The 26,015-nt window shown below is 43.1% G+C and overlaps 1 protein-coding gene and 3 long non-coding RNA genes across 17 annotated transcripts in view, besides 1 other annotated feature; 2 read left to right on the forward strand and 2 right to left on the reverse strand.

Annotated features, from left to right (window-relative positions):
• Positions 1 to 2,624: 2,624 nt before the first annotated feature.
• Positions 2,625 to 10,635, reverse strand: LINC00601 (long intergenic non-protein coding RNA 601). Its single transcript, NR_073453.1, has 4 exons — positions 10,543 to 10,635; positions 6,472 to 6,564; positions 5,556 to 5,667; positions 2,625 to 3,494 (listed from the first exon to the last, which is right to left on the reverse strand). It is a non-coding gene; the product is annotated as a long intergenic non-protein coding RNA 601 (long non-coding RNA).
• A 2,169-nt stretch (positions 10,636 to 12,804) lies between these two features.
• LOC112267914 (uncharacterized) lies at positions 12,805 to 16,729 on the forward strand. Its single transcript, XR_001747635.3, has 3 exons — positions 12,805 to 13,234; positions 13,570 to 13,656; positions 16,393 to 16,729. It is a non-coding gene; the product is annotated as an uncharacterized LOC112267914 (long non-coding RNA).
• Positions 13,753 to 26,015, reverse strand: part of C10orf90 (chromosome 10 open reading frame 90) — a 245,697-nt gene continuing 233,434 nt past the window's right edge. For all 14 annotated transcript variants that reach the window (NR_146939.2, NM_001350922.2, NM_001350921.2 and 11 more), the window contains 3 exons: positions 18,543 to 18,606; positions 14,747 to 14,846; positions 13,753 to 14,658 (listed from right to left, as the gene is read on the reverse strand). Coding sequence is in view for 13 of the 14 variants with exons in the window: in NM_001350922.2 (NP_001337851.1) it covers positions 14,620 to 14,658; positions 14,747 to 14,846; positions 18,543 to 18,606 (203 nt within the window). In the remaining variant the exon portion in view is untranslated. The remainder of the gene's footprint in view (positions 14,659 to 14,746; positions 14,847 to 18,542; positions 18,607 to 26,015) is intronic.
• Positions 13,871 to 15,070: an enhancer, noted in NCBI's record as "BRD4-independent group 4 enhancer chr10:128113684-128114883 (GRCh37/hg19 assembly coordinates)". NCBI's record gives its function as "activates an origin of replication core promoter dependent on BRD2, P300/CBP, MED14 and CDK7 cofactors, and independent of BRD4, by STARR-seq in HCT116 cells {active_cell/tissue: HCT116}" and the evidence as "EXISTENCE:reporter gene assay evidence [ECO:0000049][PMID:35650434]".
• LOC728158 (uncharacterized) overlaps positions 14,686 to 26,015 on the forward strand; it is a 35,028-nt gene continuing 23,698 nt past the window's right edge. The window contains exons 1-3 of the long non-coding RNA NR_148989.1: positions 14,686 to 14,781; positions 22,332 to 22,573; positions 23,818 to 23,882. This is a non-coding gene — a long non-coding RNA (uncharacterized LOC728158). The remainder of the gene's footprint in view (positions 14,782 to 22,331; positions 22,574 to 23,817; positions 23,883 to 26,015) is intronic.

Genomic DNA, 26,015 nt, shown 5'->3' on the forward strand with positions numbered 1-26,015 from the left:
CTCCTGAGGAGTCCCAATGTGCTCACTGCCCCTATTAGAGGGGGGCCCTAACAGGTGATGCTTGGGACCCCAGAGCTCTCTGTGGACCCAGATGTTCATGACAGGAAAGATGAGTCTGGCTCACAGAGCAGATGGCTTCATGTTCCGGGAGGCTTTCTCAAGGGATCTACTTGAGGCTTTTAGGATCACTGTGGTGCACACACCCTCCCACCCAAACCCTCAGTGAGGGCTGCCCATGTCCATAGTGTAGGTATGTATTTCCTGGTGGCAATGAGTTCTTCACAAGTGCCTTTTTTTTTTTTCTAGACAGAGTCTCACTCACTCTGACCCCCAGACTGGAGTGCAGTGGCACCATCTCCACTCACTGCAATCTCTGCCTCCTGGATTCAAGTGATTCTCATGCCTCAGCCTCTCGAGTAGCTGGGATTACAGGTGTCTGCCACCACACCTGGTTAATTTTTGTATTTTTAGTACAGATGGGTTTTTGCCATGTTGGCCAGGCTTGTCTTGAACTCCTGGGCTCAAGCGATCCACCCGCCTTGGCCTCCCAAAATGCTGGGATTATAGGCATGAGCCACTGTGCCTGGCCACAGGTGCCATTTTTATGGATGTACACTTTTTCTTTAGAAGGATGTGCTAGTTTTCATAACCATTTCTCTGTTGTTAGACATCTGGACTATTGACATTTTTTTCTCTTAAATGAATACTGTAAATACATTTTGTTCATCTTGCCATTTTGCAATTTTAGAATAATTTCTTAGAGTTCCAGAAGGATTATTTGTTCAAAAGAAATGTACATCTTTAAAGCTTAACATATGTATTTCTAAGTTTATTTCAAACTAATATATCAACTTATGATTGTCTAGACCGTAATTTTTAAATTACTTAAAGAATTTCAGAAGTAAACAGTTGTGATTTACTTCTTGAGATAACGTATGTTATTATTTTTATCTAATTACAAAGATAGAAAACTTGGGAAATACAGAATAACGAAAGAGGCAAAAAATATAAATAACATTTGAAGGTCACTATTGAGGGGTAAAAGCATATGATCTCAGCAACTTACCATCAAATGGTTCAGAAAAGTAATGCATGTGATTTTAAATAACATGCATAGTTACATTTTGAATAACATACATGTTCACACATATATAAACTATATATAATATACAATATTATATAAAACTATATAAGGTATATAATTAATATACATACATATTATATATGTATATATCGTGTAAAATTGTTATAGTCATGCAGTAAGAATTATATGTGAGTGAATGTGTATGTTGGAGAGAGAACAATAAATCAAATGTTGCGAAGTGTCAACAATTGTTGAGCTGAGGTGAAGACACATGAGCACTGCTTGTAGTGTTTTTGCAACTTACCTATACAAGTGATATTATTTCAAAATAAAAGATTAATAGATTTTAGATGACACACTTTCAGTGTTTTTTATGCATAAAAGCATCATCTTCTGCCAGTTTAGGGTTCATATTATTTCGCTTTTTCAGCAGCAGGCTTTGCAAGACCACACCGTGGGTATGTTACCATGACCTTTGTATACCATCTTATGGAGAGAAACTATTTCCTTCCTGTGGGGCTTTTAAGTTGTTTCCAATTTTTCACTAATAAAAAATAACATTTCAGTAAGTGTCCCTGGACACAAATCTTTAGTCATATCTTTGATAAATTCCCTTACTGGGAATTGCTGAGTTGAAAAACAACTCCCAACTGAAAGCTGCTAATACAAATTGCCACGTGCCCTGGAAAAGTTCCACCAATGTGCTGTACCCCTAGCAATGCAGGAGCACGGCTCTGTCAGTGGCTAAAACAGAGCCCAGCTCAAAGCAGCTCAGGTGAGATGCAGGGTCCATTGTAGGCTTGTTGGGGGAGCTCAGTGCCTCCAATTGGAGGAAGCACAGCCTGGCCTTGCCCACCTGCAAAGCCCAGGCGCTATGTCTGTGTGTGTTGTCTCTGCAGCCATCTCCTCTGCTCCAACCTCTGGTTAGTGGGCGAGTAGCTTCTCTGCAAGGCTCTGAGTTCTTTCACTCAGCTCCCGGGAGCCTTTGCTTTGCTAGAGTGTATGGCCCCACACTCCGGGCCCTTGCTGATGAGCTGCTCTCCATGGTGAATGTAGGTCAGAGAAGTAATGGGTGGGTAGGCTGGGAAGAGGACAGATTACCTAGAACAGGGCATGAACAGGCAGGCAATGACCCACACCTCCAACTCCACTTCACAGTGTTTCATGTGCTTTCACTAATGGCTTTGAATCTTAAAAAAAAGAATAAAAGAACGAAAAAGAAGAGGAAAATTTGACAGGCTTAAATGTTTCATTATTTTTATTGTATTTCTTTAAATATTAGCTATTCTTGGCATTTTGTGTGTTTGTCAGTGATTTGTATTTCTTCTGTGAAGGGCTTATGTTCTAGAACCATGTTTCTGTTGGACTGTTTTTCCTTTATTGAGCTATATGATGCTTTCATAAAGGATCTTACCCTTTATGGTTTTAAATATTTGCCCCATTTTGCCTTTCGCCTTTTAAATTTTGTTTACAGTGTCTTTTGACATTCAAGAGTGCCTCAGTATGTTTGGGCTGCTATAACAAGATACCTTAGACTGGATAATTTATAAAAAATAGAAATTTATTGCTCACAGTTCTGGAGGGTGGGAAGCCCAAGATCAAGGCCAATTTAGGTTTGACGTCTAGTTTGATGTCTAGTGAGGGCATTCTCTGCTTCACAGATGGCACCTTTGGATGCATCCTTATGTGGTGGAATGGATGGGCAGCTTCCTTGCACCTCTTTTGTAAGGACACTAATCCCATTCATGAAGGCAGAGACTTAATCACCTCCTAAAGTCCCTACCTCGTAATACTCTCACATTGGCAATTAAGGTTTAACATATGAATCTGGGGGGACACATTGAGACCACAGCAAGCAGTTTCTCATTTTTGTCTAATCAAATTTGTCATTTCTTTCTTTTTAAAAACATTTGACTTACAACTTAACATTTGTAGAAATGTTTCTTCCATTGCTCTTATTAGAAAGATTTTTACCTTCCATGTGTTGCTGCTTCTAGTCATTTTAATTTTTTGTGCTGCATCCCTTTTTGGATGCACCTGGAAGCACCTAGCATAGGGCACCAAGTGGACGCTCAATCAGTAAGTGTTTGCTGTTGACATGAATGAAGGGTAATGAAAACTCCTTATGGTCTAATGACCTTTGAAAATTATTTGCAAGGCTGCAAATGAGAATTCAAGAAGCAATGTCCTAAATGGTACTCTAGTGGCTCTCAGAGGAGCTGGCTAATTGAATTCAAACCATGTGTGAAAGCTGCCCCTTCCAGGACAATATCCTCCAGCCGGCTGTAGGGATGAGTTTTTTCAGTGTCTGGAAGTCCCATAACAGGACTAAATGAAGACTGAAGTCAATATCTTCCTTCTTCCTCTTCAGAGATTTGAATTATGATGTGCACCTTCTAATGTTGATGATCTACGAAAATACATACAGCTGATTTTTCAGGTCTTGTCTTCAAAGAGCAAAGCCAGAGCATTGTTTTAAAGCAGACAATGGTGTCCACAAGCTCGCAGCAATGAGTAAACTGTCACTGTGAACCTTCTTATGATGTATTTAAGGCCATACATTAAAGACAATAATAACATCATTTGTGGTGGGCCTAATTATGGCCCCTGGACTTTAAATCCCATTTTAGAAAGTGCCCACAAACAAAACCAAACAAAACAACACATAGTGCATCTCTAAAGAGTGCCGCTTCACAGTACCTCTGTGTTTTCTCAACTTTGGGGAAAAATCTTTGCTTTGAAATCTTACTTTTTGGACCAAACTATTGATTCTGTGTTGACTCCTTGACTACAAGATCATGAACTTTCTTGATCATTACAAATAAACATTTCTACAATTGTCTCTTTTCACCGATATCAAAAACAAAAGAGCTTGGGGTTTCTAAATAAAGTGTCTAGAGAAAACCGATGTGTGTATTGCCCTCATTATGTTGTTAATAATGCATTTTTAGATGGAGTTAATATTTTATGGGCTATTAATAATACATGTGTTTAGGGAAATGCATGTATTCTATAGAAGGATGAGAAAGTTATAAACTTGGAATTTTGCTTCTTTGTATCACAGTGCAGTTGTGACATACATTTGCCGAAAACTTGCCTGGTAGAGTTTTGTGTGTGTGTGTGTGTGTGTGTGTGTGTGTGTGTGTGTGTGTGTGTGTGTCAAGAGTAAAGCACTTCCATTGATGTAACCTGGAAAGTTCAGAATTCAGGAGGCTGTTTCCACTTTCTGGCCCAGATTGTTGCTGCCAGGACCTCCTCCTTTGCTTAATCACCACTCAAGTCCCTTACAACTCTGAACACGTCAACACTGAGATGTCCACTAGAAGAACGCATTAGCACTGATGAAGAATCACGGCCTGGGGCATGTGACTGGCACTGATCCACAGGTGTATATAAGAAGCCTTTCTCATTTTTGCAACCTATCCATCTGATAAAGGTCTAACATCCAGTGTCTATAAGGCACTTAAACAAATTTACAAGAAATAAACAAACAACCCCATTAAAAAGTGGGCAAAGGATGTGAACAGACACTTCTCAAAAGAAGACATACATGTGGCCAACAAACATGAAAAAAAGCTCAATATCACTGATCATTAGAGAAATGCAAATCAAAACCACAATGGGATACCATCTCACACCAGTCAGAATGGCTATTACTAAAAAGTCAAGAAACAACAGATGCCGGTGAGATTATAGAGAAGAAGGAATGCTTTTATGCCGTTGGTGGGAGAGTAAATTAGTTCAACCATTGTGGAAGACGGTGTGGTGATTCCTCAGAGACCTAGAGGCAGAAATGCCATTTGACCCAGCAATCCCATTACTAAGTATATACCCAAAGGAATAGAAATCATTCTATTATATTACTAAGTATATACGCAAAGGAATATAAATCATTCTATTATATTACTAAGTATATACGCAAAGGAATATAAATCAATCTATATATATAGAAATATTATATTATAGAAATCATCTATTATAAAGATACAAGCACACATATGTTCATTACAGCACTATTCACAGTAGCAAAGACATGGAATCAACCCAAATGCCCATCACTGATAGACTGGATAAAGAAAATTTGATACATATACACCATGGAATACTATGCAGCCATAAAAAGGAATGAGATCATGTCCTTTGCAGGGATATGGATGGAGCTGGAAGCGATTATCCTCGGCAAACTTAACGCAGAGACAGAAAACCAAATATTACATGTTCTCACTTATAAGTGGGAGCTGAATGATGAGAACACGTGGACACATGGGGGGAACAACACACACTGGGGGTGGGAGGAGGAAGAGGATCAGGAAGAATAGCTAATGGATGCCGGGCTTAATACCTAGATGATGGGATGATCTGTGCAGCAAACCACCATGGCACACGTTTACCTACGTAACAAACCTCCACACCCTGCGCACGTACCCCTGAACTTAAAATATAAGTTAGAAAAAAAAGAAGCTTTTCTCACCTCTTAGAATCTGATTCAAATGTAGCAGCAATTTCTGCTCAGAATTTCAGGAGGGTCTGCGTGTCCCATTACTTTTGACTTCGGGGAGATAACTCAAGTAATTTTTGCTTTTCTAGATGGAGTGAGACACAGAGGGAAGAGGGTGAGAAACAGCTGGTGATGTAAGGGAAAAACTAAGCCCTGATGGCTGGTGATACTGGAGTGAGGAGAATGTCCTGATACCCAGAGATACTAGTTTCTAGGGAAGAGAAGCATGGTATAGCCCCTGCCCCCAGGGTGCTTTCAGTCTAGTGGAAACATCACATCCTCCATGATTCCCACACATAATAAACCTACATCATAATCCTAGGTAATTTTTCCTTATTCTGTTAAGGATGCAACTTTCCAAGGCAAATATTTTCTAATTTTATTTTCCTAAAGTTTTGAGGGATCCTATTCTACAATTTAAGGCTCTTTGGGGCCAGTAAAATTACTTAACATTTTAGTGAAACCTGAAAATCTGTATCTTTCATTCTTAGACACATGTACACCATCTGCAGCATGATGTCAATATAAGAGCTCAGAGTTCAGGAGGGAAACAGACGTGGTTCAAAGCTCAGTCCCAACCCACCAACATGAAATACCCTGCATGAGTTACACGTGTTCTCTGGCTTACTCCATCTCATCACGTACAATGGGAACTATTCAGGGGCAGTGCTTCATATGTGCATGCTTCTCTTAATTCAGAGATGAGCTTGGGAAGGAAGAGAGAGGACAATTTCACCAGCAGTTGAATGACTGCTCATCATTCCAATCCAGCCTCTGCCCTGGAGGCAGAACCAGATGAGAGATGTAAATCTGTGTATGGTTCCCTTGCTTCTCAAAGCATGACCATCTCCTCATGCTGAGTAAGAGTCTAATATTTTAAAGGAAATACCTCTTGTACATCACATCTCCCATCCATGCCAACTTCATCTGGTGCTCAGTCGATCTGTTTCAGAGCTGGAGGAAGCTGTCTGGGTGAGCTGACCTGTACAGAGATATGTTAGTCTGTCATCAAGATGACACTTAAGGGACTTTAAATAGTGATTCTGATATCATCGTATTCTAATTGCACCTGACTTTAAAAATGATTACTGGCCGGGCGCGGTGGCTCACGCCTGTAATCCCAGCACTTTGGGAGGCCGAGGCGGGCGGATCACGAGGTCAGGAGATCGAGACCATCCCGGCTAAAACGGTGAAACCCCGTCTCTACTAAAAATACAAAAAATTAGCCGGGCGTAGTGGCGGGCGCCTGTAGTCCCAGCTACTCGGGAGGCTGAGGCAGGAGAATGGCGTGAACCCGGGAGGCGGAGCTTGCAGTGAGCCGAGATCCCGCCACTGCACTCCAGCCTGGGCGACAGAGCGAGACTCCGTCTCAAAAAAAAAAAAAAAAAAAAAAAAATGATTACTAACCCCCACCCACCTCTGGCCCCTATAAAAAGGAAGTCAGTCCAGAGCCTGCCTGCTGCCTACCTCCCAGGGCCCTCCTGAGAATAATAAGTGTGGATTGGGCATGAGTTTTAAATGCATAGGGAACATCTGTTCATTAGCCAGGGGACTTTTTCCCTTAGAAAATAAAGTAATGGAGAAATCTCACAAAATAAAAAAGGGGCCATCAAGCCCTAAAACCTAGTCTCTTAACATCTTTCATGACACAGTTGTCTTGAAAACCAGGCCTTGTGGGGGAGTGGGGAGTAATTTTCTGGAGTTCCATGAGCATTTCAAGAGCTACGCCTATAGGCCTAGGTCCCAGAGGCCCAATATGCCCAGGGCAGAGAGAATTCAGGATATGACTTGGGGAGAAATCCACCTCCACCAGCTTGGTCCTCCAGCAGGTTTCCATGTCCTTCCATGCAGGAAGGCGCATGCAGGAAGGTGTCAGGAAGCTCCTGTAGACCACAGGGGCAGATGGGGAAGGTAGTTGATGGTACTGGTTGCCTAACTTGCCCAGAATTGTGCCAGCATCAGTAGAGTCCTCCTGCAGCCCAGGGCTGCAAAGTAGACCACAGAGCCTTGGGTCTATGGGAGCCACAACCGGCCTCAGGGGAACACATAGTCCCTGTGAGTGCAAAGGTGGAGCACAGTCAGCAAGCTGAGAGTTTCCCTGCTGTAGACTTGAGTAGCAGATGCCAGTAGAATGGGCAAGGGACCCTGTCACCACTGAGGACAGCAAGGGTCCCATGTTAGTTGACTTGAGGTACCATAACGAAATACCCACAGCTGAGTGGCTCAAACAACAGAAATGGATTTCTCACAGTTCTGGAGGTTGAGATGTCCAAGATCAAGGTGCTGGAAGAGTAGGTTTCATTCTGAGGTCTCTTCTCTTGGCTTGTAGGCTGCTATCATCTCACTGTGTGCTCTTCCTTGTATGTTCTCAGGGAGAGGCAGAGGCAGAGACAGAGACAGAGGCGGAGGCATAGACAGAGACAGAGGCAGAGGCAGAGACAGAGAAGGCTCTGGAGTCTTTTCTAATAAGGACACTAATTCCATCAGATCAGGGCCCCACCCTATGACTTCATTTAACCTTAATTACTTTATTAGAGGCCCCATCTCCAAATATAGACAGTCACTCTGGGGATTAGAGCTTCAACGTATAAACACAAACATTCAGTGCATAGCAATTCCATTGCTACCCAAGGACCCTGGACACAGAGCTGAGACTCTGTCCCACTGGTCCTCTCCCCAGGAAGCCACATTATGAAGCTAGCCGCAAGCTTGGGAAGGAGGTGGTGGTGGCAGAACTCAGAAAGGCCAAGTGTGAGCCTAGGCAGGGCTTCATTTCAAACTGATGGGACCTGTACATGAAATGGAACTGTATGATTCAAGAGAAGGCTGAGGGGGGGTTCCAAAGTGATTCAGTCCCATGTGCGGGCTGCTTTACCCAGTGACAACACTTCCGAAAGGATTCAGAAGAGACAAGATACTAACTTGCTGTCCCCAGTTAGCAGTAAGGTGGAAGCTCCTAAAAGGGCCAGGTCGGGAATGGGATATACAGAGGCAACAATTGATTTGCATTAGTTGAGGCTGCTGTGACCCAGCGGGAACACATAAATGGATGACAAGTGAGTGTCACTTGGTTAGCGCTCAGAAAAAAACAAATGTAAGCTATTATTTTGAGAAATGTTCAGAATGCACTCTGGGTTCAGCAGTTTTCTGCTCAGGTTCTTGTCCCTGTTTAGAGGTTGTTCACCAACCGATCAGAAAACACTTCCTGTGTTGAGGGGGTGGGAGGAGGGGGAATATTAAAAAACTGCTAATTGAGAATTAGGGTTGAAACACCCTAATCAGGAAGAAATGCTTCAATGGAAACAATCATCATCCACCTGAATCAATACCGCCATCTAGAAATATTGGTGTCCACACACCTCAGTTTAATCCATGAACAAACATCTGTTTTCCATTGTAAAGAGCTAAGCTCAGCCTTGTTAATACAATGTCACATGCTACCAAAAAAAAAAAAAAAATAACAGACAAATATTTTGAATTATTCTGTCATTTTGATGTAATAAACATTTCAGCTGAGACAGCAAGACCGGGTATTTTAATTATGTCAGCATATAATAATTAAATCTGGCCTTACTCGCCTTTGGGTATATTTTTAAACAAAAACAAACACAAAACTTCTGTATATGCACTCAGTAGCTTTTAATGTTAAGCACATATTTGGCAACGTGTACCCGTTAAGTGGGCTGTCATCACTAATTTCTTTGGTACCTGTGTGATAACATCAGCCAAGAGGAACTATAGTGGATATAACACAAAAGTGTGGGTTTATTTCTTTATCAATCAGCAGCTGTGAAAAGATTTATAATTTCCCTCTCACTGACATCACTGGGCAGGTAAAGCAGGCAGCCCCGTTGGCTTTGATGAAAGGATATTACCCAGCGTATGGAGTTAACACAGGTGACAGTTGTAATATCTTTTCCCTGATGTCAGTTACAGCTGTTGTACCATTTCAGGCATGTCGGGAAAGTAGAGATGTTTAAACAGAAGAAGAATGCTCAGAAAGTCATCAAAAGGACATTTTTTCCTATGCCATTCACTCTTGGTGCTATTTAACAAAAATGATTTAAAGAAATTCATTTTTTTTTTCTCAGCAGCTATTCAGATCATAAGCTGCTTTTTCTTTCCTTTTAAGCTTTGATAAGAATAACCCGGCATTTTTTAAGATTCTAAAGGCAAGTCCAGTCTCTTCCTTCCCTCCCCGCTCTTCAAGTTCCTGATGCGCGAAGATCTGAGAAAAGGGCCACAGGTTGACGTCATGTTTCTGGCTGCATTCTGGCAGGCCACGGCAGCATCCAGAATGTGTATGCGGAAACCTTCTCAGAGAAGGATAAAAAAGTGGAAGGATTTCAAACCCCCTGCCCAACACACACTCCAGGCAATTACCTCAGACCGTCTCTTGGGGTCTCAGGATCAAAACTGTGCCTGAGGCAATTGACCCGACTTGAAAAAAATCCTTGAATTTTGGAAGTGACATGCCAAAGTCGTGGCTCCATTCCATGTGGCTGAAACATCTGCGTGAGTAGAGGAGTCCCCCACTCCCAAACAAGAAGCGACTGTGGGGAGAAAGGGGGGATCTGATGGAATCTCAAGGGTCTCCCAGGCAGCCTGCTCTCCTGCCTGAGTGGGGAAATGTCCCATCAGCAGGGGACACTCAGGAGAAGGCTGGGGGGATTTCCAAAGCCATTCAGTCCCGGGTGCGGGCTGCTTCAGCCAGTGGAAGCCACTTCCAAAAGGTTTCTATTAGACCTAGACATTCGTGAGTAATTATCAAGTATTGATAAAAGCACAAATTCAATGAACTCTATAACGTAGAACCCTCTGCTACTGGGCTCATTGTAATCACTGAACAGATTATTTCCTTTGCTTTTAATGCTCATGCAGACACACTCACACAGACCCACAGTGGATCTTTTTTGTGTGTTATTTCCTGAACCCAGAGCTCTCACACACCGTCAGATACCTCCTGTTGGGCAGCCACATCACCGTACTTTCTCTTCTCTGGTTCTGCCCCTGATGTGCCTCATACTCAGACCGTTGGTCATTTGATGCAGTCAGAGACCAGGCCCCTTGCCTGCAATTTTTATACCAAGTGTTGAAATGGGAGAACCTCAGACATCAAAGTCTCAACTGCTCTCCCACAATTGGCTGTTTCAGAAATAGTTCATTCAAAGAGCCCTGTTACATCGGAGCAAGCATTTGCTGACTCACTCAGGGAGCCCACAAACTTCCAGGAAGTTTGGTTGGCAATAGACACTGGCTAACAAAACCAAGGCAATTGTTTTTCCATTATTTCATTACCGGCCGGCAGAGAGAACAACCAAAATAGGAATTGCTCCTTCGACATGAAGTCATGGAGACCGCAGTGAGATGGCCCGGTGCTGTCGCCACCTGGATACCTCAAGTTATTTCAGATGTTGCTTGGTCTAAGCTCATGAATATCCTCTAACAATCTTTACCCCTTGCTGCCAGCTGTATCATTGAAGAATTGTTTTAGACCAGAACCGAAACACACTCAGATGTAAATAAATCTATTCCAGAACAGAATTTAATGATTGAAGTTACAACGGTAAATTCTATTTAGAATTTTCCAAAACCTCAAAGTATTCCCTGAAGTCTGATTTTAATAACAGAATTCAAAAAATGGGTAACCAATTCCTGAGAGAAATATAAGGGACAGCAGTTACAATTCTTCAGGGCTTTACTTTCATATGAATTATAACATAATTACATTATATTTCTGCTAACATATTTCATAACAGAAAAGAAATACTGGCTCTCTGAATTCTTTTCTCAGCATTGAAGGACGGTTACAACATTAACAGGCCAAGAAAAAAAAGTTAGTTAAACAGAAACCCAAACCTTAGTTTCCAGCCTTGTCCTGAGCCTGCTGCCCAGAGGAAAGACCAGCTCACACCAGCTATCACATATTCCTACCTTAATTCTCCATCCTAGCCACCTTAGTTAAGACCTGTTCTCAGAAATACATGACTCAGAGGCATTTCCTCTCAAGCTGATGTTTATTTATTCTTTAGATTTTTAAGGCTGGGCATTGGATTTGCAAAGGGTATGAGGCTCTTTGTGGGCATTTTTGAAGGTTGGCTCCATCTAAGCATTCTCTCTTTAAATATCAGCCAACATAAATCTAAAAAATGTCATAGAACAGTCTAGAAGTGGTTGGGCCCTGAGTTTAAATGATTGATTACAGAAAATTAAAACATTAGCCTGATGAATTTTTGCATTTTTTGTAGAGACAGGGTTTCATCATGTTGCCAGGCCAGTCTTGAACTCCTGGGCTCAAGTGATCCTTCCATCTCAGCCTCCCAAAGTGCTGAGATTACAGGCATAAGCCACCATACATAGCCATGTGCAGGATCTTTATCTGGGAAAGACTGTCCTTAACTAATATCATAGATTTGATTTAAATGTTTTCTAAAAAATCACTTAAAGTGTAAACAGAAATTCAGTGTAACATCCTGGAAGAGGTCTAATGAGTTCAAGAAAGCAGAAATTAACCTGAAGGTAAGCTTGTCACCCTGCTGAAATGGTTTCTGAGCGTGAGAAGCACATAAAAGGAAGGAGTTTATGAAGCACCTTATTTATGTTGGCTGATTTTTGCTGTACCAGCACCCATGAGTTCAATGGTCTTGTGTAGCACTCACTACAGAGCTGAGGGATTACAGGAGGACCAACTCACAGCCCCTGTGCTCTTAGGTTTCCCAAGACAGTCCTAACTTCCACCTCTGCTTAGAATAGGAAACACTCATGGTGTGTTTAATTTAGGCTAGTCATTATTCTAAGCATTCAACACTCACTGGCTTATTCAATTCCACTAACAACCCTATGAAGGGAGCACTATAATTATCTGCATTTTGTGGTTAAGGAAACAAAGGCAAGGTTAAATAACTCGCTGTGCCAGATATTGATTATATTCTCTCTCACCTCCAAATTCACCCTTTTTGCCTGCTCTGTTAAAATGGATCCAGGCCCTTTAAGTATTTTCCCTTTGCCAGCTGATACAATGTTAGGCTTTGTCAGTAGAGAGAGCTAGAGAGAAACTGCAGGAGAAAAGGGTGCTGCTTCCCAGAGACAGTGCATTTGCTCAGCCAGCTCCAGCACCAGGCCCTGCAGGTAGCATGTGACCAGCAGCACTCATGGCCAGCTGCTTCCCCAGCCCCCTCCCTGAGGTGGTATTTTAGCAGTGTCACCAAGGAGACAGTTCTCTGTGGATCCTAGAGGGCAGATCTCTGGCAAGTTCCAGAAAGACTTGTAGATTCTCAACAAGTTCCATTGGCACACCACCACAGAAACTTCTCCACCACCTGCCGAGACACTGTGGTTCCCTCTCAGCCCAGGGCTAGGAGGAAGACTCTTCCTAGGACTCCTTGCATCTGCTGTACCCACCTATATTCTTCAGGGCTATCTTTACAACTTACTAGCCAACCTTTTGCTACTCTAATCTGCTATTAAGGTTAATGATTAAACATATTAAACATTTCCATTCAAATGACTGTGTGGTTTCTCTCTCCTAGTTGGACCCAGACTGACACTCTTGCCTGAGGGCACAGACCAGGGAGCAGCAATCAATACTGGACACCAGGCAGCTTCCACGCTTGACAGTGTTGCCAGACCCTCGCGTGGGCAGGAGGGCACAGGTCTGATGCCGTGTGTGCTGATGTGAGATCTCTAATTCATACTGGAGGGCAAGGCAGAGAGGGCACGTGTCAGGAGAGAACCCCAGGGTAGAGTTTTAAACAGTTTGCAGCAGATATGTAAAAGAAAGGCATTTCAGAAAGAGGGGACAGTATGTACAGCAGCGGGAGGAGGGAAGGAAGGGTGACAACTTCAGGGAAGGGACAGAGGTATCACCAAGCTCCTGCTTCATCCCTAAACCTTTTGTTTCATTCCCAGGGAGAATCCTAGTAAGATTTAGAGTCTGCAGGATCCTAAATCTTGTTCTCAATGGTTTTACCAGCTTTTCTCTTACCAGCTCTCTAGGAGGCAACATTATCCACTGGAGCATCTAGAAGCACAAGTACTTCCATGATGGTCAGAGGCAGAAGAGGATGCGGAGCAGGTCAGTGGTGCCTGCTGGGTCTTGGGCAGCATTTTATACCTTATGTTATCTATCCTGGCCACCTACTTCATAACAGAATATATAACAGAGAAATACTTGAATTTTTATAATAATTGCATTTATTTCCATTTGTGTTGTAAAAACTAGCTTGTTCTTAGCTTCCCAAACAGACATATTTATAAATAATGTGTATTATAAACATTTGGAAGAACAGACAGCAAAGTTGGACCATTAGGCTATTTCTTAACAAAAGAACTGTTTTAATGGGGCGGGGCAGGAGGAGTATTGTAGAAAACACTGAAGTTACGTCAGAGCTTCCATAGAAATGGATTCTTTTCTCTGGTGAGGAATGGGGCGGGGTGACTGAGGGCCCTCTGACTGCTCCAGGTCACAAAGAGATGGGCTGATTGTTCCACAGCCTCGGGCATTGCACCCACCGGTTTCCAAGTCAGCCTCTAGCATTGGGTGGTGTACATGTTCAGAAAGGTTTCAAATATACTATATGATGACCCACATTTTGGCATTTGCATAACTGGCAGGTGCTGAGATTGAAATTTAAAAGGAGATGGATTTGGATCCCAAAAGTTTGATGTAAAAGATTCCCCAGGGATGTAAACAAACTTGCTTGTATCAGGCCTCTCTGATGGGCAGGAAACAGCAGGGGAGAAGAAATCAGAAGCAAAAGGTACAATTTAGAAGCAAAAACATTAAGGGGACTGTATCCAGTGGGTTACATGGAGGTGGTTTCCCCACAACAGATTGTTGACCTATTTTCTCGAGGGTTATTGTTTCTGTTTGGCTTGGGTCAGTAATTCAGGAAGTGATGTTTTCCTTTATGGAAAAAAAAAATCGAAAGTAAAATAAGTGTTTTCCCATGATGAAGATAATGCTAAGTTTAATGGCTTATCCAGCATTCGAAGTCCTCCCAGGTCCAGGTAGTGTGGTCAGCAGGGCAGCCTGTGGTTAGACCGCATTCCTTTGAAGGAGCTGGTCCAGTAATTGCTAGAGGAAAAGGGAAACAAAGATGTCAAGTTGAGATTCGGCATCTGTGCACCACACACATCACACCTGCTGGTGACGAGGCCATTACCTTTTTGAAGACTTCGGCACGGAGTCTGTTACTTTGTAAGATCACCCTTTTCCTTTGTTCTTCTTTTTTCTTTTTAACTTCCGGCAAGTTATCATAGATTCTGAAACAGATTCGGAAAACATTTGGAATGGTAGCTTGACAGCGTGCTCCCGCTGTGGGGCTGCATCCTGTCTTGACGGCAGGCTCTTACATTTCAAAGAGAAGATCGCTGCTTATGGGCTAGCTCACAACTGTAGGATGCCAGGACGAAGGGCTTTCCTGACCATACCCAGAACCTGCTGCATAGCAGGGGATGGCACCTTGTCCAGTGCTACGTGGGGCAATGCAACAGGCAGAGTCCCACCAGGGGCAAAGCTGGAGAGGCCAGTTGCTTATTTAGAAGTCATTGTTTTTGTCCTTCCATTCTCTATGATAATTAATGACTTAATCGTAAAATGAAGGATTCTAAACCTACTGCTTTAGCATTCTGATTGTAAACTTGTTTCCAAATACCTTCTTACCACTCAATGTTTGCCTTCCTGTGACTTAGAAAAGGAACAGCATATAAATAGAAATAGCAGGACTTATAATACTGTAATAAAACACATATAAGTGTGTGTGTTTTTACCTCTCAACCTATTGCACTTTGAATTAAGGGCCCAGGGGATCTTCCTCTGGACACTTCTTTCCTACTTTCTAACAGCAACTTCATGGACTGATGCCAGTTAATATTTCATTATAATCCACTGACACAGTGGAGTCACTGTAGCCTGAGTATTTGGATTGCTGTACGTGTGGCACTCAGCTAAAACATCTTTCTCTCTCTCGTGTTTGAAAGCCAGATATGATATAGTGAAGATGTTCCACCATTAAAATAATAAGGACAATGTAGAAAAAATCATGATGACAATCTTCGCAGGAGACATCTTAGGTATTGGACACTAGGCTTGAATTACTTGACATGAATTATTTCATTTCATATTCACCACAGTTGGAAGAGGCATATCGTGTCCCACTGTTATATAAATGAGAAACCCAAGCCCCAGTAAGATTAGGAGACTTGTATAAAGCCCCTAGGCTGGGATTCAAACCTTGGTCTGTTTGACTCTTTCTAGACAACACTGTCACCCAACCATAATATGGCATCAAGCTACTTGTGAGATCCGGGAAATGCTTGTGCCTAGTACAGTGCCTAGCACTCTGTAGGCATCAAGATGGGTTGAATGAATGCATGAAGAAAAGAACACATAATTGCCACATTCAGGAGTGATTCTAGGAAGGACTAGGAGAGAAAACTATAAAGGAGTCAGTTAGAAAGTAGGCATGTCTCAAAGCTCTGCAGTGGGAATTTCCTCAGATCCATATAGACTGATCTTTCTGATACTGACCATCTCAATCAGCTGGCAGAGTGGTTAATATTAGGTGTCAACTTGATTGAATTGAAGGATGCCTGGATGGCTGATAAAGTCTTATTTCTGGGTGTGTCTGTGAGGGTGTTGCCAGAGGAGATTGGCATTTCAGTTGGTGCACTGGAAGAGGAAGACCTACATTCAGTGTGGGTGGGCACCATCTAATCAGCTGCCAGCGTGGCTGGAATAAAGCAGGAGGAAGAAGGCAGGATAACCTTGCTTGCTGTGTCTTCTGGCTTCCTTCTTTTTCCATGCTAGATGCTCCTCCTCCCGCCCCTCCTGCCGTTGGACATCAGACTCCAGATTCTTCGGCCTCTGGACTCTTGGGCTTGCACCGGGGGCTCTCAGGCCTTCAGCCACAGACTGAAGCCTATGCTGTTGGTTTCTCTGGTTTTAAGGCTTTTGACTTGGACTGAGCCACTACTGGCTTCTCTCTTCCCCAGCTTGCGTATCATGGGACTTTGCCTTGTGATTGTGTGAGTCAATTCTCCCGAATAAACTCCCTTTTATATACATATATCCTATTAGTTCTGTCCCTCTGGGGAACCGTAACTAATATACCTGGGAAGTATAAAATAAAGGCTCCTAGGTCCCACCTCTGTTACTTCTGATTCAGTGTTTTCTTAAAAGAACATCCCAAATAAATCATGGTCCATCTATACGATGGACCACTCTGCAGACAGTCAAAACCGACAAAGAAAATAATCTATCTATTCGTCACAGAAGGGGCTCACAGACATAAAGTGAAAAGCAAGCTACCGAGAGATAGTGTGTAGTATGATACCATTCATGGTTAAAAATCACATAGCTATATATGCACAAATAAAAGTCTACTTTAAGGCAAAGAGAAAGGCCTGACAGGATACTCAGGAGATATCACTGTGGGTGTCTGGGGAGCTGGGACTGGGGTAGGGAAAGTGGGCTGGGAACAGGGAGGGGAACTGCTGGTCATGAAGAGACTTTAGCTTTATCTCCATTGTTTGCATTTTTAACATAAAAATGTAATTTAACGATATAATTAATAGCAAAGAATACAAAGAAAAGAAAGCTCCAGGTGATTCTGTGGGTGAGCCAGAGTCAGAGCCCACCCAAAGTACAATCCACAGAGCAGAGTGCAAACCCAGCTGCTAAATCCACCAGAGGAGACCAGCTGGGGGAAGCCAGTTACTTGAGGTGCAACATCACCTAGCTCACTCGTCCTCTTTGAGCCTCAGTTTCCTCTTCAGTAAAATGATAGGGCAATACTCTCTGACTACTCACGCTGCTTTGAGATCTATTATTTTAATTGCTTAGTTTGCAAGGCTCCGTAATGGTGGCTTTGGGTTTGGGGACTGGGAGGGGAGGATTTGGCTGAAATTTTTCAGTAAATTGAAAAGGGAATGGTTCTGGCATGAGGTATATGCAACTTTGCACTTCTGAAATAGCAAGTCTTAAAGCCCAGTGGCCCTTTAAAAACTCCAATTAGAATGCTACGAATCAGGTCTTTAATGGGACGGTCTCCCTTTTCCTCATTTTCGCTTCCTTATTTACAAAGAGGCCTCCAATAAATGATCAAAGTTACCTAATCACCATGGAAACAATATAATCATAGTAAAAGCAGAAATTGTATGCCTGAAGTGGGGAGAAAAGTATTCTCCCTATTTCAATGGTTTCTTTAAGTGCGCTATCAATTTGATTTAATTATGATAATTCCTCCCTGTGCTAGACACTTTATTATAAACTAATGACATTTTACTTGCATGAACTTGGCCAATGCTGCTGAGCTATTATATTTTGGTTAAGAGGCCAGATCTCAGAAAGAATGGCAGCCTTTGTGTGCATCAGATTGGTGAGAATTAGTGGGAGTCTTGAACAGCCACCAGCCAAGCAGAATAAGGAGGATGTGTTGGCAGCATGGCCGCCAGGTCTGCTGGAGACAGAGTACCAGGAAACCTAGCTCACGGCCCCACTGAGGCTCCACTGGCTCCCAGGTGCCATCTGCCTCCAAGGTTGGATCCTTTCCTTCAGTCCCTGCCACAGTCCAGACCCTTAGGAGAAATAGTTTCTCTCCTCCTCATAAAGTTACCTTCAAAGGTGCAGTGACAAATAGCTCCTGCCCAGAGCAACAATACTAATATGCAGGAGTTCCAGCTCAGAGTCTGGGAATCTCTTAGAGACCAATTACTGGATTGGTTCAGAATCCAAGACCTACCACTTTCCTAAGGTTTTTCCAAGAGCAGCATTAACATTCAAAAGCACATTTCAACTACCGTACTTATTTTAGCCGTTTTTTCAGATTTGCAGCCAAAAAGACCTCAGACCTTAAACATGGACCTAGAAGCAGTGGTCCCATTGGAGGGCACCTGAAGCCATCAAACCACCCTACTCCCCCCACCAACTTCTTTGCACACCATACAATAACCAAGTACCTCTTAGATCGCATATGCATCTCCTTCTCTGAAATGCACCGTTCTTTGGGTTTGAACAAGTTATCTGGAAAAAATAGAAAGAGAATTAAGTTCAGAAGGCATAGAATCTCACACATTTCTAGAGAAACATTGTGATTAGTTCATAATCCGTTAATTGATCCTTATTCTAAGCCATATCCTGAGTCTAAGCAGAACTCAGTAGAGACTGATACACCATAAGTGGTTGTATTGACAATGGCCAACAACGGGTTTGGTCTTGACAATAGTTAAATAAGGACGTGAAGTACAATGTTAGCATCTAACCTACTTTATGGAGAGCAACACCTTTGAATGCTTCCTTTAGCAACAGAGTCATGGTTTTCTGAGAAAAGTGCCAGAGTGCAAGCTCATTCCACCCATAGAGAAATCCCTACACTAGGTCTGTGAGGCCTCTAAGGACAAGGAAATCCCCCACCTATCCCTAGAGCATTTTGCAAGAAGGAGGTTTCACTCTTGTCTATAGCCCTCTATAGGGCTGCTCAGCCTCTGCACGATAAAGACCACCTTGCCCCCTTCCTAATGTGGGGAAAGGTAATGAACAACAACATAATAATCATGTATGCTCAGTATCCTTTGATTAAGTACACAGTAGCTAAAAATCACTATGAGACTGGGACTTTTTCATTCTAAGTACATATTCATAATGATGTTCACAGATGGCACACTTAAAAGTGGTGTGTGTTAAAAAAAACAGTGTATATCCTCTTGCAAAAGTTGAAAAGGGACTGTTCCAATAACTCAAATTCCCATGAGACACTTGGCCATGTAGATTAATAAAGGGTCTGGCATATGTAAATGCTCCTGGGGTGCTTGTTGCATGGGGGTGTGTTTCAGCAACTGCCGTGCTTCCTAAAACACCTGGGCAGTAACCTGCTCATTCAGCAGAAGCAGACAGGCAACTTGGCTCCTTGCCAAGCATCAGAGTTGGAGTGGGGCTCCTGCGATCCCCAGTGAAGTCCTGGGTCTGTTTCTATTCATCTCCTCCAACCCAGGCCTGTCCCTTTGCTCATCAATCCAGTGGAGCAACCAAATATTTCTCAGGCTTGAGAATAGACAGAATTTTCTAGGAATATCTAAGAAGGTAGGATAGAGCCAAGGATCCTAAGAAATTTCTTCCTCTCTGGAGAAACATAACACAGCTACTGACTTATAATATGGAAAACAACAGAGTGGCTAAGCTTGTCCCCTGTCTGGTTATTCAGACATGAAAAAGAATATGGCACCATCGCTTAACTTCAAAGACAAGATTGAAAGGAGAAACAAGAAAAAGAAATTGGAATATTTCCAACTAAGTGGCTGTATTGACAACTGACCAAAAACAAGGTTAATCTTGACAAATTAAATAAGGGTGTGAAGTACAGTGTTAGCACTTAACTTACTTTATGGAGAACAATGCCTTTGAATGCTTCTTTTTAGCAACAGAATCATGGTCTTCTGGAGAGAAGTGCCAGGGTGCAAGGTCACTCCTCTCATAGAAAAATCCCTACACTAGGTATGAGGCCTCTAAGGACAAGGAAATCTCCCAGCTTTCCCTAGAGCAATTTGTAAGAAGGAGCAGTGAGAAAACAACATCACCATGGAGACTGCAATGGGCCAAGATGCTTCCCAGTATCCAGCGGTCCCTGCTCCAGGCAGCACCAGGTCAGAGCCAAGGGCCACAGAAACATCCCAATGGCATTTCCAAGAAAAAAGGAAATGTCAGCTTCCATCAGTCAGGCCCTTGCTCAAGCAAATATGTGACTCTTGACAGTCACTTATTCCACTTAGGGAAAAGAAACCTTGTACAAAGAATTAGATTCAAGTCCAGCTCAGCAATCCTCATGGGCTACTCAAGATTAGGGTGAGGCCAGGGTAGACAGACGGTGTCCTGAGGAGATTAAAAACATTACCAATACCCTTTGTAAGATTTTGATCATCTTGGTTCAACTGTTTGTGGTCTACTCTGGGAAGTTAGATTTTCTTTTCTTTCTTTTTTTTTCAGTTTGTTTCTTTAGAGCACCTGATACCACAATTAAGCTTGGGTTTGATTCCCAAGAGGAAACAACAGCAAATGTGAGCTCTCTGACACCTCCACTCTTGTGTTTCCTCAACTCGGCTCAGCCTGCTGTGCCACACAGAACTTTTGATTCTGGGCCCAGCAGCCCATGTTAGGTGCAAAACAAGCAGGACTGTGTCCAAGGGGGCTTCCCCTGCTGGTGACCTCAACCCATACCCCCGGGGAAGTATTTGCAGGTTGATTGCTTCTGACTTTGAGTTTTCCTAATGGTTCCCAAGCTCATCTGATAAATAGCAGGGTCTTTCCTAGCCTGGAGGAAAGAGACATGAGGAAGTGGTTTGAAATAGAGCAAGTGCATTGCAAACAGCTCCCAACCTCACTTGAGTGAGAGGAACACAACTCACTGGAGCAGCTTTGGGCACTTTGAGAGAGAAAGTGGCTCGTGGTTGCAGAAATTGTGTTTTGGGAGCCCTGACCAAGAACTCCTCCATTTCCCATGAGACCAATCCAAAATTCATTTCTTAGATATGCCTTTCTCCTTCCTTCTACATTTAACGAGCAGTTATGTTGGTAGGGGATGCTCAGAAACAAAAATAACAGATAAGACCGTCCCTTCATGAGATTTCATTTATTTTGGGAGAAGCTGGACAAGTCAAAAACCAGCTAAAGTATCCGGCAAATGCTCTGGTGAAAATGAAATGCCACCATGTGTCAAAGGGGGAATGGAGAGGCAAGAAGTCCCCGCAGGGGAGGAGATATTTAAACCAAGACCCGAATGACCAAAGAGCCAACTGTGGGAGGATCTGGGAGAAGGGCACAGTGAGCTTCTGCAGTAAGAACTGAAAGTGGGTCATCGTGGCTGTGCGGGGAGGGAGGGTGCAGAGGCGAGAGCGAAGATTACTTTGGTTCTCCACCCAGGTGATGCCTTACAGCTGCCTGGGGATTTTGGCAAAGATTCCTGTGTGTTGGCATTGGAATCTCAACCAAAGTCTCCAGATGACTCCAACATGCCCTAGAATAGGAAACCACCCACGTTGGCCTTTGCAAACCTATTTAAGGAGCTTTGCAATCCTGTTAAGGAGTTGCCTTCAGAGTAAGAGAGTTGGAGAGCCATGTGGAGTTTTAAACATGAGATCTGATTTTTATTGCTAAAAGATGACCACAGTGGCTCTTCAGAACATGAACTGGGTGGAGGAGATGCAAAAATGGCAGCAGTGAGATAGGTCAGGCAATTGCAGCCAGGTGGGGAAAGATGGCAGCGTGCAGGTAGCCATGGGACTCTTCTACCCTGTACAGGTAGAAACTGAGTTGTAAGGGCCAGGAGAGATGAATCAAGGATGACTCCCAGGCTTTGGGTTTAAGCAAACCCATTCATTTGACAATTGTAAAGTTTTTATCTCCTTGGTGCTAAGCGATAGGGACATGAAGATAAATAAAACTAAGAGCTCAGAGCCCAGGATGAGAATGAGGTAAATAAGGCCTTTAGATGCCAAGAGCAAAGTCTGCACATGGTGAGGGGAGACATCAGGAGGGAGTGGTCAGGTCCACCAGGGAAGAAGGGCATCTGGGAAAACTCCATAACAGGAGACAGCTGAGCTGGGTCATGAAGTAGAGAGAGACATACCCCAATAGCCTGTGGTTGGTAGGGGTGGGTGAAACGGCAGCCCAGGGTCACATAGACCTGCCTGCAGCAAGAGATGAGTCATCCTTGATTCATCTCTCCTGGTCCCACAACTCAGTTTCTTCCTGTACAGGGTAGAAGACTCTCATGACTACCTGCACGCCACCATCTTCCCCGGCCTGGCGCAATTGCCTTCAGGATATGTACAGCATGACCCACAGGGATTTCACTTCATGGAATGCAAAACCAACCTGCATGAGCTTTGTTTGAAAACAAAACAAAACAAAACGAAAACAAAACAAAACAAAACAGAGAAATCCTATCTATAAAATTACTCTTAATGGAAATTCTGCCTGTATAAAATTAAAGTGGCAGGTGAGAACCATTTTCAGCTTGCTTATGGGTCTCTTACAGATTTTCCTTGAAGTTTCATGTGTTCTAATTCCCTGATATGGAGGGAAGAGACTACAGTTGTGTTTACCTCGAATTATCATTCAAATAGAGGTGGTGTTTTCCCCCAGTAAAATTACTAAGGTAAATTGCCTATTTCTATATTTCTGGAAAATACTTTTTTCCCCAAAAAGTCTTGCATCTGCCTCATTATTGGATCCAAACTACAGTGTCTATTGCTAATTTAACTTGGTAAGGCCAGACTTCCTCAAGCCCTTGCCTGTGTCAAAGTCAGCAAACAACCAGGTACCAAGATTTCAGTGCTTCTGAGAACTACTCAGGTAAGGTCAAAGCCCAGACATCCCATTAATCTCTATAAACACATGTGGGTGTTTATTGTAATCCTCATATCACCTCTGTGCACACACATACACAAGGACAAGTGGCCTCAATATTCAGACAGTTGACAGTGTCACCAGAAGGCAGCAAAGATCACCCTGCCACCAGCATGATTCGTTGTTTTTGGAGCTGGGCTGTTTTTCCTCCATGCAGAGCCCTTATCTACAGCTCTGATTGCAAACTTCATTTTCCCTACTGAAGAGGTAATCTAAATGATAATCAAGTTCACACGATTTATTAGGACAATGCTTTCCAGAAGCCTATTTTCTGAAGTCACCCCGAGCACTTTGAAGGATGTTTTAGACATTTGCTTCCCCTATCTTAGAAACACCAAAACCAAGAGATACCCGTTGGAGAGAATTCAGCAGGGAGTCAATAAGCCAGCCTGGAGTATAGACGTCAAGTCTCTACCTTCCTGAATCTCCTACTAAAGATTGGACCTTCACAAAGAATGGAAATGGGTTGTGTTTAAGGGAACCCCCAACATGTGTGAATTCTAAGATCACAAGGCTGTGCATTATGCAATTCCAAAGTCACTAGGTCTCTGCCGCCGGCCGTTAGAGTAATTCCATCACGGTTCTCAGGGTTTAAACTTGAACATTTCTGTTCAGCTCACCATGGTGGACCCTCTAATTTTCTTGATGTAGGCAATAGGAGAGTGGTCTATCTTGAACCAAATTAGCCCTCCAGAAATTAAACAGCACAGGTTACACCATATGAAGGTGAGTTAACGACTCATAGGTGGTTTGGCTCTGAAGTGCTCTCATGATAAAATCTTATGCTGGACTCTCATTTTCTAAACATTATCCTGTTTCTAAAATCACTTCTAGCCATCTGTGGAATCCCACTGCTGAATGACCGTTGCACATAGCAGCTTGTTTCAGAACCCTGTCAGGTAAGTGGAAGCCACACAGTTGTTGGTATTGATATGAAAGTGATGCCATGTGCCAATTACTGTCCAGACACATGAGAGAGTTGCTGATGTAACAATCTGGAAAGACAATAAGCTCTCAGACCTTTCTGGTGAAGGAATATAAAATTAAATAAAAAATAAGCCAGAGAGTCTCCAGAAAAATCTGTTTCCTTTTGCATACTCAGTTTGAGAAGCAAGGTGTATAGGGCTTCCTGGTTAAGGAAGGTAGATCATTCTCTTGCACACAGAGACTTACCCTTGAGCTTGAGCTCAGAGTCAGGTCACCATCTTGCAGCTTCCATGGAAAGATAGGGTGCTTTGGAGCTACTGGATGGATTTCATAAAGGGTCTGCACCCTTGGTGGGGAGGTGGTGAAGAGAACGCCCCACCATGAACACTGGCAGCCACAAGCCTCCCCAGATCTTCCAAGGAGAGACCCCTGATACAATATGGCAGATGAGGCACAGGACCAGAGCTTTGCTTCCCCAGCTGGAGGATCCCAGACCTCCAAGTCAACCATATCTATGAAAAACATTTTTGGAGAGAAATGGAGTCTTGATGTACTCCCTGAGCCCATGCTGCTCTATCTCTTGGATCCAAGAGCACTGTCCTCAGTCCCCTTCACTTCCTGACTCCCTAGGGGTCTTCTCCTTTATGATTCTAGACGTGGTTTACAGCTGTCTGCCTGGCCAACTCTCTCCCCAAGTGGCACATGAACTCCTGGAAGACAGGAAAGTCTCTTCTCAGCCCCTAATATCCCTGCCTTTTCCCACTTGCACTCCATCCCTATGGTCAAAAGAGACCCAGTGCTTAATATTTTTATTTCTTGGCTGGTTACTCCTCAAGAGATCCAGTAAGAGACAAAGGGTTCCCCATAAAACCTATAGGAACTGCTAAGGAAGGCTGGCACACATCACCTCCTAATTCAGGTTGCCCGTAGTGCCAAAGACCCACGGAACAACCAGCTCTACCTGTGCAAATTCAGTACCCCAATGTTGACAGGATCAGAGACTCTCAAACTAACCAGACTCTTACCCAAGACCAGAAACTTACAATATGAATCCCAGCGGAGGACTCCTGTCAGTTGCCCAAAACATGCATTTCCTCCTAGGGGAGCTCAGCAGTGGCTGACAAAGTGGTACAGACTATTTTCTGCAATGAGCACATTGTTGAATTTGAAGGCAAATCAGCTGAAAGATGGGCAGCTATACCCAGTCTCTAGGATTTAATGATTCAAATTCTTAATGACCTCACTAAACACAACAGGAAATTCAGTTTCTTTCTTTTTACAAAAAAAAATGAGCATTAGAAAATTAAACATCATACTTTTATGATGTATATATGATGATTTCTTTGGCTTGCCTGAGCCTCCATAAAATGATAAAGTCTTGTTACGTATAAGTCTAAAAACCTGGCAAGTCACCTTAGGCCTTTGCTTGGTGCTATGTGCTTTGGGACAAGCTACTTGTGCTAAGATTTGGTTCCTCTGCACCCATTGCGGGAGCAGAATCATTTTTTAAAAACTTTTCTTTTTTGAGCCAGGGTCTCACTCTGTTGCCCAGGGTGGAGTACAGTGGCACAATCATGGCTTACTGCAGCCTCGACCTCTCAGGCTCAAGTGATCCTCCCACTTCGGCCTCCCCTGAATAGCAGGGTTTTTGTTGTTTTTGTTGTTGTTATTTTTGTTTTGTTTTTTGTAGAGATGGGGGTGGTCTCACTTTGTTGCCCAAGATGGTCTTAAATTCCTGGCCTCAAGCTGTCCTCCCACCTCAGCCTTCCAAAATGCTGGTATTACAGGTATGAACCACTGTGTTGGGAATGGTCCATATGAAGGTGCTCTATTAACCATGAAGAAGCTAATGGCAATGCCAACGACCACTGTTTCCCCAGTGTTCCTCTCTACACAGGGCACCTATCCCCCAAATTCATGTTTCAATTCATCCTTACAGCAACCTACTCAAGCTAGTCTTCTCTCCTCTTTACAGGGGTTTTGTGTGTAGGTAAATTACCTCTAGTCTCAAAGTAAGTAGACAAGAGACCTGAGAGTTGAGTACTGATGGAACCAGTGGGATTTTTATTCTCTGCAAAAGATATAAGGTTGTGGTTCTCAAAGGA

Source organism: Homo sapiens, chromosome 10 (assembly GCF_000001405.40).
Source record: "Homo sapiens chromosome 10, GRCh38.p14 Primary Assembly".
Classification (NCBI taxonomy): Eukaryota; Metazoa; Chordata; class Mammalia; order Primates; family Hominidae; genus Homo; species Homo sapiens.